Genomic DNA, 15,100 nt, shown 5'->3' with positions numbered 1-15,100 from the left:
TCTTCCCAAGGTAATGACTTCTTTATTATAACTGGCCTCGAGTCTTTTGTTCAAGTATGTATGGCATACTCATGATCTTTTAAGAAGCCAGTTCTCTTTTTAAAGTACGCTCTGGATAAGCTAAGAGTTCTTCCAGGAGATCTTTAAATAAAGCAGCAGGTGATGATGGAGGCATCAACCGAGAGGCGGCCCCTTCGCTCCCTGTGGGAGCCATCCCAGGGCCGATGGCTAGCAACTTGTCAACCCAGAAGGAAATGAGAATTTGCAGAGAGGAGGGCGAACTTTGCAGCGGAAGCACTGGACTGATTAGTTTTATGAGCTGACCTTTAAAGGAGGGCCTCGTTAACTAAGGATACTTTTCACTCAGCCCCTGTGCCAGCTGCTCTGAACTCCATGACCTGATTCCATCTCCTGGGGGAGCAGGGGCCTGAGTGCTAATGGAGCCGACCGCGGTGTGAACGTCGATCTGGCCTCCTGGGGAAGCACTTTAGAAAGGGCCCCTTGGCGGTTAGGGCTTAAAATAAGCACATGGTAAAATCAGAGCCCGGGTTTCTCTGGGGTCTCAGAAAGGACTCCGCGCTCAGACTCCAGGCCCCTATGGGGCAGAGCACCCCCAGGACTGATCCAGACCCAGCATCCAATCCCGAGAGAGGCCTGCAGACCTGGCGTCAAGCCTCCAGCAACCCTGCTGTGGACATCCTAACCCACCCTCAGACCCAGGGTTCAACCCAACATGGTGCCTCTGGCCTAGTGAGAGATACACATTTCACCGGAGTTTTAAAGCGTACCTGAGAGTGTAAATGAGAAAAAAAATGAAAAGATTCCCAGTTACAGCCCTCTTCACGCAAACATCCCTGAGTTTTAATAAATCGCTAAGTTGAATGTTCACACAATTCTCCGATTTTCTCTGTATTCTTTCTTGGCCACTCTAGACATTGAGTCACTTGTGTCCTTGTGAGTCTCTTCCTTCTCTTCTCTAGTGTGGTGGTTTGCAAAGTGCAGTTTCTGGACCATGGCCTGTTAGCCATGCAAATTATCTGCCTCATCCCAGACCTCCTTGATCCAGATCTCTGGGAGTTGAGTGCAGAAATCAGTTTGGGGGCTTTCCAGGACATTCAGGGGTACTTCCCTAGGAGACCCACTGTTACAAGAAGACCTGTGCTCCCCACTCTCATCCCCAGACAACATCAGGCACCATCATAGAGGCACTGTGTCCCTCAATACCACTGGCCCATCCCCAGGCTAGCCCATTGTGTCCCCTCTAGAACGTGGCCTGTGCTGCTCCTCAGAGGGGGTTGCTGTGGGGAGAACTCTGTGAGCCCTTGTCCAATGGAGAGCAGCACCATGCTAGCTCAAGGACTTTGGCAACTCCTTTCCCTCTCTGATAATCAGCTCCTCAGCTGTCCAATGGTGATAATAGGGCCGTCCTCACTGGATTAACATGAAGAGTCACCAAAGTAATACAAGCAAATCACATTGCATATAGTAGAGGCCCAATAAATAATCATTATTTCCTTCCACCTAAAAGAAATACCCATCTACTCTTCTATCTTAATTGTACTATGCATCATTTAACACCTGTTGTTAATGCTATTTTCTCACTTATTGTTAAAGAAAAATTTATCCAAACACTTGGTAAAAAATGGTATGGCAGACTTTATTCAGGGGGTGCATGGTGATCAGTGTAGGGACCACTGCAACGAGGGCTTGCTGTGGGGAGAGAGGCTGGGCTCAACTCTGAGCACAGCATGGGTGAGGGGATTTGCAGCCTAGAAGTAGGCAGTGGGCGGTGATGGAAAATTACTAAGAGGAAATCACAGGGACAAGGGGAATGTTGTTAGACCCACTCAATGAGACTTGTGCTGAGGTCAAGCCAGGGTGACGAGACACAGAGGGTGGTCAGATCCCAAGGGTGGGACTCTATTGATTAAGGACTCAGCAAGATTCTTGCTCAAGCTGGATTCCACAAGGAAAGAGAGGGAAACACAAGGTCAGACCTAGTCTAAAAGGACGCGGAGGAGCCTGATAAAGTTCTGGTCAAAGAGTGCCTCTTTGTCACCATAAAGATCTTCTAATACTCCAAAGGGAAGTGATCTCTCCCCTTTTTGAGCCCACTGCCAGATTTCTTAGCTCCTATGACATCCGGATTGCTTTGTTTCATTGTGATGAATAGAATTCTCTTATTTCACTATGGAACTGCAGTTGCTCCACAACGGGCATCAGTACACCTTACTCATCTCTTATCCACCCTAGTACCAGCACAAAGCCCACATGTGTCTTTAACACCTACTGGGATGTGACATCTGTATCACAATGGGATGTCCAGGCCAACATCTGATGCCTGCTTCCATTGCCCTCATTCTGTTCTACAGCAAGGAGAAGACCACACAGCTTCTCACACGAGACTATTTTCCGTGCCCTCCCCAAGATGGGGGAGAAGTCGTCTAGTGGGCTCCCACAGCTGTACTGAGTACTGCACTGCTGCAGGCTAAGTTGTGTTCTCAAAAATTTGTATGTTGAAGTCCTAACCCCAGCGCCTCAGAATGGGACTGTATTTGGAGATGGGGCTTTAAAGAGGTGATTACGTTAAATTGAGGTCTTTATAGTGAGTCCTAACCTGAACGGTGTCCTTATAAGAGATTAGGACACAGATACACACACAAGGGAAGACCATGTAAGGACACAGGGAGAAGACAGCATCTACAGGCCCAGGACAGAGGCCTCAGGAGGAACCAGCCCTGCCCACACCTTGATCTTGGAATTCCAGCCCCCGGAACTATAAGACAATGAATATCTGTTGCTTGAGCTGCCTAGGTGTGGTGTTTGCCATGCTGGCCCCAGGACACCAACAAGCCTGACCAGGTGCTCAGTGGTGCTCTTTCTCCCACCCCTGGCCAAACGCAGGAGACACAGGCCACGAGAGCTCACATCTTCCCGAGGGGAGGTGCAAGGTGAAGAGGTGGGCCTCACTCCTTTGCAAGGCATCTATGACTCCTCATCTTAATCTGATAGGAAGGATGAGGAAGAAGCTGAGAGCAAAACCACCTCTCTGGAGTGCTGGCAGTTGGCTCTGCACCCCAGGACCCTGGCATGGAAGAGGGACCACCAGACTGGCCAGGGACAGCTTCCACCAGCCCTGACTGGCCTCCTTTCCCTTCAGCTCTCAGAGCCCATTTGGCCTCAGGAATTCCTTCCTCCTTCCAGAAGTGGATGCATCATCACAGAAGCTCCAGGAGTGCTGACACTTGGCGCTCCATGGGGCCCCTGAGCTGGTGAGGGCACCCTTCACAAGTGTGCATATGAAGTGTGCCAACAAGATGCTCTTTTTTCTGATATCAAATACTTCTATATTCGATGGGTAAAAGCACACTTCACTAGCTCGGTGAGGCACTCCATGTCCTTTCCACTTCCTCCAGTTCCTTCTAGGGGTCCTGCCCCCTGGCTTTCTCAGACCATCTCCCTTCTCTCATCCCTGCAACTCCAAGGGGACTTTAGGCCACCTGCTATGGGAAGGCTGAGGCTGCTGGTTCCATTCCCCAGTCGCCCCTCGGCAGTGCTCAGGCTCACGTGACACCCCAGGCTCCAGTGCTAGCCCCTGAGAAAGAGGAAGTCCTCACCAGCTTGCTCTGGCTCTCATACAGACCCTCATGCAGCCTCGCCTTGTTCTCCCTCTGGGAGATGTCACTAACACACCTTTCAGGGCTCACCCACCTTAGTGGACATGCTCCTGGTGGAGGCTGGGCACGCACATTGTTCCTGGATAGAAGGGGCGGCCTACATTCCATCACCCTATCCCATGCACTCTTCTTTAGAACTGTGTGTCTGTCTCAACCTCATCTTTCCTGCCTTCTGTTCAGGGAGACTCTGTCACTGCTACTTTAACTGGGCCCCTAGTGAGCCACCCTCATGTCCCCACTTTGGACAAACCTTGGCATATATCATTCCAGGAGGAGGAGACCCTCAGCTGCGATGAAGAATGCCCCCATGTCACTCCTGTTGTCTGTAGCCCTTCCCTAGGCTTGCAATCAAGTTTGGAGGGGGTGGGAGGTCGATTTCACAAATGCTAAGGGAGAATACAGCTTCAGAAATAATCCTGCCAGTGAGACCCGGCCTTGCTGCCCTGGGTGCTGGTAAGAAACTGAAATGAACCACAAGGGCTTATGCTCAGAATCAAAAACTACCCCACATTTACCAATATTTTAATTCATGATGTTTATTTTCTCAGAATGGGAGAAAAACAAAGAATACATCTCATCTCTATACTTTAACCCACCTTTTTGGTCTATAGATCTTGAAAAGGTAACTTTTTTTTTTTTTTGAGATGTATTATATATCACTACCAACTAAGGCATAGATCCTCCTCCCAGCACAGGGGCCCTCCTTTTCTAGCCTAAGCAGTGTTTCCAGAAAAGACTTGACTGTCCTGTTCTTGAGTTTTCCACTTGAGAACACCGTGCCACTGGCTCTCAGATTGACCTGTCAGCCCCATTAGGATTCAGAGGTGTCTGAGCGTGTCCTTTCCCTCCCGCCCTTCCAAGCCCTCATCCCGAGTCCTGCCTCCTGCCGCGCCTGCATTCCTTGTTGCTAGCACTGGTAACTTTACTCGAGATCAGTCTTTTCCTCCTGTCTAAAGATGCCTGCTCCGCTTGCCTTCCTGCCCGTGTCTCCTCCACATCGTTTTTTGGACCTTTCCCCCGTGCAGATGCAGATGCCCACAACTGTCTCCAGGGAGAGGCACTGAACTTCCCAGGAGCTGTGTCTCCCTTACCACACGTGGGACATCAGACCCGCGAGGTGCCCGGCAAAGTGAATTCAACGCCCAACGCTGCTGCTGCGTCCAAGACAATTCACGTGGTCAACGCTGCTGCAAAGAGATTTTTGTTGCTGCTGTTCTACAGAATTCTCAAGTCGTTAGTTTCTAGCTAGGAAAGAAAGATTTCTGGAGCACTCTACGTTGGGTGAGGTAGAGATAGCAGCTCCTCCGCATGTCACCTTTGGTAGTGAAACAGGTGATCCTCCTGACTCACGCAAACCCAGGCTCTGTGTTCCCCGAGAGACAGACCCCACCGCCCAGGGAAGAGCAAAGCCTGTCAGCCCAGGGCGACTCACTGACACTGTGGAAAACAGTGCAACCCTCTCCCCACCACAGGAAGGGAGCCCTGGGCGGTTCTCCTCAAACATGGCGCCAAGGGGAGCCCGTTACCTGCCATGGGAGCTGGGGCAGAAGCAGCACTGACGGCCGCGGAAGGCTGTACCAGAAAGGCCCTCAGCCTAGATGTGCACAGCTCCCGCTCAGAACCGCAGGCAGCCCTGCGCCTCCGCCCCCAATCTGCGCCTGTGAGGGAGGGGAAGGAGGGGCAGGAGTCGAAGGAGAGAGCCTCCTCTGCCAGCATCCACGCTCGGTTGCCAGGTTACTGCTTGCTGGTCTCCATGTCGCCTGGGGTTGCGTTCCCGGCTTACAAATCCAGGGATTCTCTAAAAAGAAGAAAAGGAAGAAACGTTTTTACAAGATTTGATTGTCATGTTATTGAGCTTTACCATTTAAGAAACAAGTGTCATTGGTTTTCAAATTAAGCCTAAGTTGTCTCATTAGGATTCAGCTGTGTCTGGGCATAACCACGAGGCTATTTACAAGAGATTTTATATATACTCACATTGCATACACACACACAGAGGAGGGAGATGTACACACATGCATATGTATCTCTGTGTGTATATACATACGTGTACATATATGAAATATACAATGCATTTGCCTAAAAACAATGGGGGGAGAAACATACAGCCTGAGAAGTCCCTGGGAAAGAGCCACAGAATAGAAAAAAGCAGAGCCCTGTGGGTGCCCTGCACACTCAGAAGTCTGGCCTCCTCCTCAGCCCCCTCTCTCAGTTCTTTTACTACCCTGAAAGACAATGTCCATTTGATTCGTTTTTGGTTTATCTTCATACAGTACATAGGCCTCCCGTCTAGCCCACTGGCACAGGCATTTGCCCTTTGACCAACCCCATCCTCCTTCTCGGGAGTTATCTCAAATAGGCCAAGTAAGCACCAGCCTGTGCACAAAGCTGGACATCATAGCATAGTGAGGCAAATGGCTGGAGCCAACCCTCACATCCATTGCCAGGGGATTACATGGGGCCATGCCCACCCCCATGCAGCCCCATGCAGTTATAAGCAGGAAGAGCGCCCTCGCCACGTACATCTGGAGTGTGGTTTTCCAGTCTGTGCTGTAAAGGAAAAGGAGAGTGCAGACTGGTGCGTATAGCAGGCTGCCCTCTGTGTTAACGATGTAAAAATCCACATGAATGTGTTTGTATACACTATGCATTATATATCACATGTACTATAATATACATGTGTACACTTTATAAACTTAAAAACAGTATAAAGATAAACCAAAAACGAATCAAATGGACATTGTCTTTCAGGGTAGTAAAAGAACTGAGAGAGGGGGCTGAGAAGGAAGCCAGACTTCTGAGTGTGCCTTGTTTTAGTTTTGACTTTAGAACCGTGTAAATATTTTACAAACACAAACCAAAATAAACTAAACATATTTTCTAAAAATCCCTAAAAGTTGTAAAACTATCCAAAACAAATAGAAGCTAACCATAATTCATGTTAGTGGTACGACCATACAGAGCAGAATTATCTCGAGGGGCTTGAAAATGCATTATTTTGACTCTGCAACCTCAGTGGAATGTAGCATAAGAGTAAGAAGAACTCCACAGACAACCCTTAAACTACAGTCACCAGCTTTATTGTTGTAGTATTGGTGGTGTGTTTATATTTATACAAATAAATGCATATATGTAGCAGGACAAAGCAAATAATTATATCAATTTTCATTAAAAACAATATTCAAATAGAAGCAGATTCAAGGATAAAATCAAATAATTCAAGCATCATCCTGGCAATGCCAGGTTTGAATTGGAAATATTAGGATCAACCCCTGTTTTATGTTTCTCCCCTATATATTTGTTAGCTTTTGGAAAGGACTGAAAACAATGACAATCCAGCATTCATGAGCAGCCCCTGATATCCAAATTGTCCATAAACACATTTCCCATCCACAGAGATCAAGGGCCAGGGAGAAATGGGTGGGGCAGGAAATGTAGAAAAAGAACCTGCGAGATTTTGTTGTACCAGAAAGCAAAGAAATTGTCAAATACTACTGGGATCATATCCAAAGGGGTGAGATGTCATCTTGAAGGGGCTCAAAAGAAACAGCTTGAGTCTTCCAAATGAATAATAATTATAATGTATCTAAATACATCAGTTACATAAAAGTCATACTCAAAAAACCAAAAATGCACCAAAATACAAATATAAAAACAAACAAAAATGCTTGTTTCTCATTGGAGATCGCTGGAGCATTGATTATTATGTAAACAGAATCAAGCAACTATCTCATCTGCCTTGGACAAACTGCTTTTCTTTTTGTTTGGTGGGGGCGGGATGGAATTTCACTCTTGTTGCCCAGGCTGGAGTGCAATGGTGCAATCTCAACTCACCACAGCCTCCACCTCCCGGATTCAAGCAATTCTCCTGCCTCAGCCTCCCGAGTAGCTGGGATTACAGGTATGCGCCACCATGCTCAGCTAATTTTGTATTTTTAGTAGAGATGAGGTTTCTCCATGTTGGTCAGGCTGGTCCTGAGCTCCCAACCTCAGGTGATCTGCCCACCTCAGCCTCCCAAGGTGCAGGGATTACAGGTGTGAGCCACCGCACCAAGCCAACAAACTGTTTTTCATGACAAAAAATTGTTGAAGGAAATAATTTTAGAGAAGAATCCACATCATAAATTCAGGCTGAAATTTAGAATTTGAAGGCTCACCATTCTGAAATCACTCGTGACATGATGGGTCTAGGTGGTAGCCATCCATGACTGCTTAAACTATCATGTAAAAGGGAGATGGGGAACTTTAGTTTGCATAATCACACTGACACCACCTGAACCCACTGACTTGTGTCATCATTGGTAAAATGGACAAGCAAGCCATGTGTCTTTCAGTGGGACAGGGACACGGCATATCCCATGTTCCTGTGCTGATGGGATAGGGACACAGCCTAGTGAAACTTTCTTGCCAAAACAAGAAAAAACAATCAGCATCTGAGCAAGCCTCTAGGTCCGACTACAGATTTACAAGAAATAAAGGGTTCCAATGAGCACATGAACTGTGAAGGGTGGACCTAGTTTGGATCCTGATTTAAATAAATAAAACATGAAAAAACTTTTATGTGACAGGGAAAGAAAACTGAACACAGGGTGGGCATGAAATCATATTAAGAAATTGTTATCAATATCACTAGAAGTGATCACAGTATTGAGAATAAAGCTTGTCTATTACAGAGTCCTACTAAAGTATTTACTGGTTAAATGATATATATCTGGGATGTTCTAGCAAAAATAATAGGGGACATCTGAAAGAAAAACGACAAATGGTTGGTACTGATTGCAGTTGGATATGATTGAAATTTTCTGAAATAAAAATTAAACCAAAAGAACTGATGAGGCAGCTTGAGGGAAACAGGCCTCTCACTGACATTCCCTCTGGCAGACATGCTGGAGTTGGGGCTGAGGCCTTCAGCTCAGGGGCTGAAGGTCTGGGGAACAGAAATGATGCCTTCCTCACCATCTCTGATGTTAGAGACTGCCCAAAGTGGGAAGATGGACAGGTTGTGTTGCCATCTTGGAAATTCCTTTTGGAGCACTTAAAGCATATAACAAAACCAGTGGCCTTAGCAGCAGACTAGGCAGGAAGACATCTGGGGCTGAAAAAAACAGGCAAAAAGAGACCACAGACAGAACTTGGGCAGGAAGACAAACCTGGGGTGACGTCAGACATGTTCTGTGGTAGCATGAAGGTGGTGGTAACCACAGCACAGATGCTAGGAAACTTGGTGTGTGTTAGGGTTTTATGCCTGTGTCCCCCCAGATTCATTTGTTGAAACCTGATCTCCAATGTGGTGGTCTTAGGAGGTGGGGCCTCTGGGAGGTGATTAGATGATAAAGACATCATGATGGGACTAATGTCCTTATCCAGGAGGCCCGAGGGAGCTCATTCACCCCTTCCAACATGAGAGGATGCAGCCAGAAGGCACTGTCTTTGAGGCACAGGCCCTCAGCAGACACCAAGTCTGCTGTCATTTTGAACTTGGACTTCTCAGCCTCCAGAACTGTGAGCAATAAATCTCTATGGTTTGTAAATTACCCAGTCTAAGGTGTTTTGTCATAGCAGCCCAAACAAACTAAGTTCAGACTCATTCTGATGGAAGTTTCTAAGGAAGGTGTACAAGAAGAGGTGGAGTTCACACGAAGCGGAAGATTGAAGAAGCAGAGAAATGCGGCCAAGGAAAATCTGAAGTATGGAGAGGATATTAAAACATGTCCCATGGGGCCTGCCTTCAAATGACAAGAAAGGCACTAGGGACTCACATAAGGAGCATTCTCAGAACTAAGCCTGTGTCAGGCGCTCCAGCATATGAATCCCCAAAGTACCCTACTGGGAGAAACACGTGAGGGTCTTCTACTTCCTTTTCCCTTTTTCACGAAAGGCAGACTTCCAGCATCTGATGCCCTGTCTGCAGAGGCTGCGGAGTGCTTCAGTTTTGAAGTGCTCCCTACAAAGGGGCTCTAAGGTTGCTTTTATTCTGCCATGGGATCCAGCATTCCATGTGGTCATGCTCCTCTTTAGGATAGCCTGGTGCACAGGGAGCTGGGCTCATGCATGCTCAGGGATGCCCACCCCATTCCCCCAACACCAGCATCCTAATAACAGAGATTCATATTACATTGCTTCATTGATACAAGCTTTATAGGATGGAACCAAGGTCCTGGCTGCCAAGAGGCCCTCCAGTAAGTATATACATGAGCCATGCAGGGATAGACCCCTAAAAGCTAACTGAGAGCTTCTTAACCCAAACCCACTATGTTACCACGCCAGTAGGAGCAGCCCCTCCTCCTCTGCAGCTCCTCCTGACTTGATAGACAACCCTGCATATGCCTTGCTGTGGAAATTAGCTTGAAAGGGAAACCTCTAGGCCTCTACTCAAATCCCACCTGCTCCAGAGACCAAAGGCAAACCCCAGAAATGACTTATACCCTAAGACAATATGATTTTGCCATTGGATGTCTGTAAAAACCCATGACCTAGATGTGAAACTGGAATCTGAAGGCATTAGACCAGGGAAGGAGTTATGCAATTTTAGATTAAGATAAATGCATTTATAGTTATGGATTTGTTTGATATTTCAAACTTCAAGTCTGAGCTCCAGCAGCTGGTGCAGACAAGATGCTAATTGCTTGCTAGGTTGGTCAACTAAAATTTGAACTGAAGGACAGTCATACGAAATAAGATGAGATACTAGAGATTCTTTAATGTAATATAAAAGATGAAATCCAAGCATTTGGGAGACAGAAATGTTGGAGTATTTTTCATCATATCTGAGCATTTATTTTTCTCCAACTCTGCAACATAAAGAAAAGCATCAGAGAGGCCTCTCAGTACCAGTGTTTCTGAGGAACAGTGATGATGATCCCCCAGCAGTCAGGGATAAAAGTGGCAGACATCCCATTAGTGGACTGTCTGGTATTAGTGGTGATTACATATTCTTTGGGTAACAAGCTTAGAAACTAGAGACAAGAAATCATTGTTACTGGAATAGGCAGCAGAGCTGGGGTGCAACTCAAAAGGGACTGATCCTAGGGAGTGCTGGGGAAGGGAGTGAGGTTTAATCGAATAGAGTTCCTAGAGCTGAAACAGGTGAGGAACTTAAGACTAAACCTGAAATCTCCCTTGATGTACATGGCAAGCTTGTTAAACAGAGACTGAAGCACCCATGGCCTTCCATCATCCTGCATCTTGTTCTGTTCATAGACTATCTTAATTATGGCAGATGAGGCTGCAGTAATAACATAAACCCCCAAATTTCAGTGCTTTAACAAAATAAGGGAGGGATGAATGTTCAAATATTATAAATCCACTCTAGCATCTCTTTCTCTCTAACATTTGGATTCCTTCGCTCAAATAACATCAAATGAGAGTGTCCTGGTTGGTGGGCAGCTCTCCTTCATGCCATAATTCAGCATTCTTCTATCTTTTGCCTCTACCATTCTCCAGGGCCTTGTCATTTTCATCCAGCTGCCAGGAGGAGAATAAGTGCATAGCGTAGGTGTCATGCTTCTCGGAAGCCTTGGTTTGGGATTACTACACAGCATTAGTCGAAATAAGTTGCATGGCCTGAAGATATATTCCCTTGCTGGCCAACCACTTCCTCGTTAGCACTGTAATGAATGTAAGGGGTGAAAAAATATTGGTCAACAGCTCCCCAACTCTGTTAGAGAGGCCCAGAGCCCCTTGGAAGGGAGGGCTGGCAAGGCTGAGGAAGCATGTGGAGTTCTTCCTGTGCAACATATATTGCAAATATTCTCCCAAGCCTTTCCCAAAGGAATCTCATTTATTTTCCAAAGTATCTAAGTGCTGTGAGAAGGGAAATAACTAGACTAATGAGAGATTGTTGGAAACTGGCTCTGAACTGATGCAACCACTAGGGACCCATATCCCTGTGGTTCATCCAATAGAACAGGGCTTTCTGTGTATCTTATGTTGACCTTTTTCATCATGAAAGGGGTAGGAATTGCTGTTCCTCTCATAACCAAGAAACATGAGTCTAGCTTTTAGGAGGTGATGATGGGAGTACACTGTGCACACTCTTCTTTTTATCCCCCACTCAACCCCCATTTCTGCAGCTCTGAGCTCTGCTGGTTTAGGCATTTTGGCACTCAGAGCAAAAATGTTTCAACCAGGTGATGGAAAAATGCTTCTACTGAATCGAAGGCTGAGACCATTGTAGGCGGTTTAGGTCCCTTGTGACAGTAGGAAGAAAAAGATACAAAAGAGAGCCTACACTGTCGACTGGAGTAATTGGGCTTGATCGTTAATGGGGATATGAGGATATATAAAGTGGAGAAGGGAAAGTGCATCTGGATCTGAGAGGTCCTGTATATTTTCCTAGTACTACAAAGGTGGACACCCAATGTTAACACTCAAAGAAAACTATAGCAATATTGTAGTTCCATGACTATCAAGGCACCAAACCCTTCAGAAAGCAAAGGGATCACCCCACCATAAGGAGCTCTAACCAGTCAAGACACTGCTGAGGGCAATGGAAACATGGGCTGTGCCAGAAAGAGGTTATCATGCTGACCATGGCTTATGGCAGGTGCAGAAGCAAGGATGTCTGTGCCCACCTCATCTTACCTCTTGCTTGGCCACACACTTATTCACAGCTGTAAGTGGGGTTGGTTTTGCCCTCTCCCATGTCTCTATCATGTATATAAATCATTTTGCCACTGTTATCTTTACTCATTAGTCTATAGGTACAAAATATCAAGCCAATTTCAGGATACCACCATAGAGGACAATCCTTGCTGAGTTTCCATGACATAACCCACTTCTCTCCATCTCCATCCCCTTGTGTATGCTCAACTCTCCTTCTTTGTCTTTTTTACAACACTTCCTTGGATTGGCATTTTGGGGTATCTAAAATGTCTCCTTACCTTTTGATCCAAAATTCATGAAAATCAGCCCTATGGTTTGAATTTAGTGAATCCCCCAACCCAAAATTCAAAAGTTGAAATCTAACCTGCATTGCAATAGTGTTATGAGCTGAGGTCTTTAGGAAGTGATTAGTGGCCCCTTATGAAAGAGTTGGACAAGAGCAGCCTTGCTCCTTCCACCATGTGAAGACACATAGAAGGCACCATCTTGGAAGCAGAAAGCAGCCTTACCAGACATCAAATCTGCCTGCATCTTGATCTTGGACTTCCCAACCTCCAGAATTGTGAGCCATAAATTTCTATTATTTGTAAATTACCCAGTCTCAGGTAAGTTTTTATGGAAGCCCAAACAGATTAAGACAATCTATCTGCACTTCATAATGACAATTCCTTAATTTCCAATCCTACCCCAGTCCTCAATAATCAGAGTTCCCTCCAGATCATTCTACTGAAATGACTTTCACTGATGCCTCTAATTAAGAAGTGCAGTAGAGACTTTTCTGGATCTGTTCCTTGGCACAGATTTTTTTGTCATATTTAACACTGTTGATTATTCCCACCTGAAACCTCTCAACTCCATTCACTTATGTCTAGGAACACAGGTGACGCTGTGACCTGGGCTCTTCCAGTTCTCTTTGTACTTTGTTAAGTTTTTCATTTAGGAAATATTTATTGGGCCCTGCACTATATTGCTGGGAAATGAGAGAGAGCTTTCTGAAAGGAGTGACAAGTAAGCTAACAGCCAAATGAGGAGTGAGAATTAATCTGGAAAGGAATGAGGGGAAGAGCATAGAAGACATTTCAGACAGAAAGAAGGGCTTTCTTAACCACAATAGTAAAATTTTTTTAAAAAAATAAGAAAGAAAGGCATACTCAGGATATTACAACTAGTAGAGACAAGGTGGAGCATCTACTTTGAGGCAGGAAATGATAAAACACGAGTTCAGATATAAACCATGAAGGGTTTTTCCATGCCATTCTCCAAAAATATGGATTTCATAGAGAGGGCAATGGATGTTCATGGAAGGTTTGTTAGCAGAGGAACAGCAAAGGATTGCACTTCAGGAAGATCACGCTTGTGGAACTGTAGGAACAGACAGCCTGAAGACCACGACAGGGAGCACAGTGGAAACCCATGCTGGTAATCTAGGTGGAAGATGCTGGTGGCTGGAATTTCCACAAGAAAGATGCAGAAAAGTAGACATACTGGAGCCACAGAATGTTTTATAGCACACAACGTTCATCACTTGAAATAGCTATAAATGATTGATTAAATGGAGAATACACTTAGTATTATATGACAGGTGCCAGTTACAGCATCAAATAATGAGAGGTAACACTGACAGACAACACTATCTATAAGGACAGAAAGCTTCCATACCAGCCACACAGCTGCTTTGAGTGGACTTGTTCTTCTTTTACCCTGATAAGAGTGGGTGAAAAGCCTCTGCTAACGATGATGCTGGTGGTGTCAGGAAACGAGAAGCCTTTCTCTTGCTCAAAAGCGAGATGGAATCAAATGCCACTAATTCAGGGACATTCTGTTTCTATTGATATGCCTACAACAATTGAAAATGCACTTATTAAAGAAATCTACAAGAGGTGCAGAAGCAAGGACAATTGTGCCTACCTCATCCTATCTCCTGCTTGGCCACACACTTACATCTGTCAGTGCGTTTGATTTTGCCCTCTCCCATGTCACTGTCTTTTATATAAATCACGTTGCTACTGTTAGCTTTATTCATTAGTCTATAGGTACAAAATATCAAGCCAAGTTCAGGATAAAACCAGAGGAAGATTATAGTAGAAACATCTGTCCTTACATTCTCAAAAGATTTAGCCCTGAATCATCTTTTCCCCTGGAGCCTTTTGTTTTTGAAATAGGAGTTCTGAGAAATGTCATAACTTTAATCTTTTTATAGAGTAGTGGTTCTGAACCAGGGGCTATTTCACTCCCAACAAAGGACATTGACAATTTCTGGAGACATTTTTGGTTGTCACAACTAGGGAGTAGGTGCTACTGGCATCTAGAAACTTACGTTCTAAATATTCTACAATGCATGTAACAGTCTTCCATAACAAAAAAGTATTTGGCCCCAAAATGTTGACAGTGCTGACCCTGCACTTAAGCCTAGATTCCCTTCTGAGTTTCAGATTATAAACTGAGGCAAAAACAGCTCTACCTTAAGGAAATTATCCCCATTTCACAGATAAAGGAACTAAGATTCAAAAATCATTACTTAATTCATCCAGGGTTTCAAAGCTGGTAAATTCTGGAGTTGATACACAGTTGAGAGATAGCTGCCCCACTACAAAACGTGGTCTCCCACATCCTTCTCCACAGTAGAGAAAGGGGCAGTGTCAGCTGTAAGCCTCTCCTAGATCAGATCAATGCCATTGTTATCTAGGATAAAGTAGCTCCATACAACTATTTTATTTTATTTTATTTTATTTTATTTTATTTTATTTTTTCTCAGATGGAGTCTCGCTCTGTTGCCCAGGCTGGAGTGCGGTGGCGTGATCTCAGCTCTCTGCAACCTC

At 45.3% G+C, this 15,100-nt stretch overlaps 1 annotated feature.

Annotated features, from left to right (window-relative positions):
- Positions 5,175-5,772: an enhancer, noted in NCBI's record as "H3K4me1 hESC enhancer chr7:51538603-51539200 (GRCh37/hg19 assembly coordinates)". NCBI's record gives its function as "activates a minimal SCP1, AML or CMV promoter by ChIP-STARR-seq in naive H9 embryonic stem cells {active_cell/tissue: H9 hESC(naive)}" and the evidence as "EXISTENCE:reporter gene assay evidence [ECO:0000049][PMID:30033119]".

This window comes from Homo sapiens, chromosome 7 (assembly GCF_000001405.40).
Source record: "Homo sapiens chromosome 7, GRCh38.p14 Primary Assembly".
Classification (NCBI taxonomy): Eukaryota; Metazoa; Chordata; class Mammalia; order Primates; family Hominidae; genus Homo; species Homo sapiens.
This window is presented reverse-complemented; position numbering and strand designations above follow the sequence as displayed.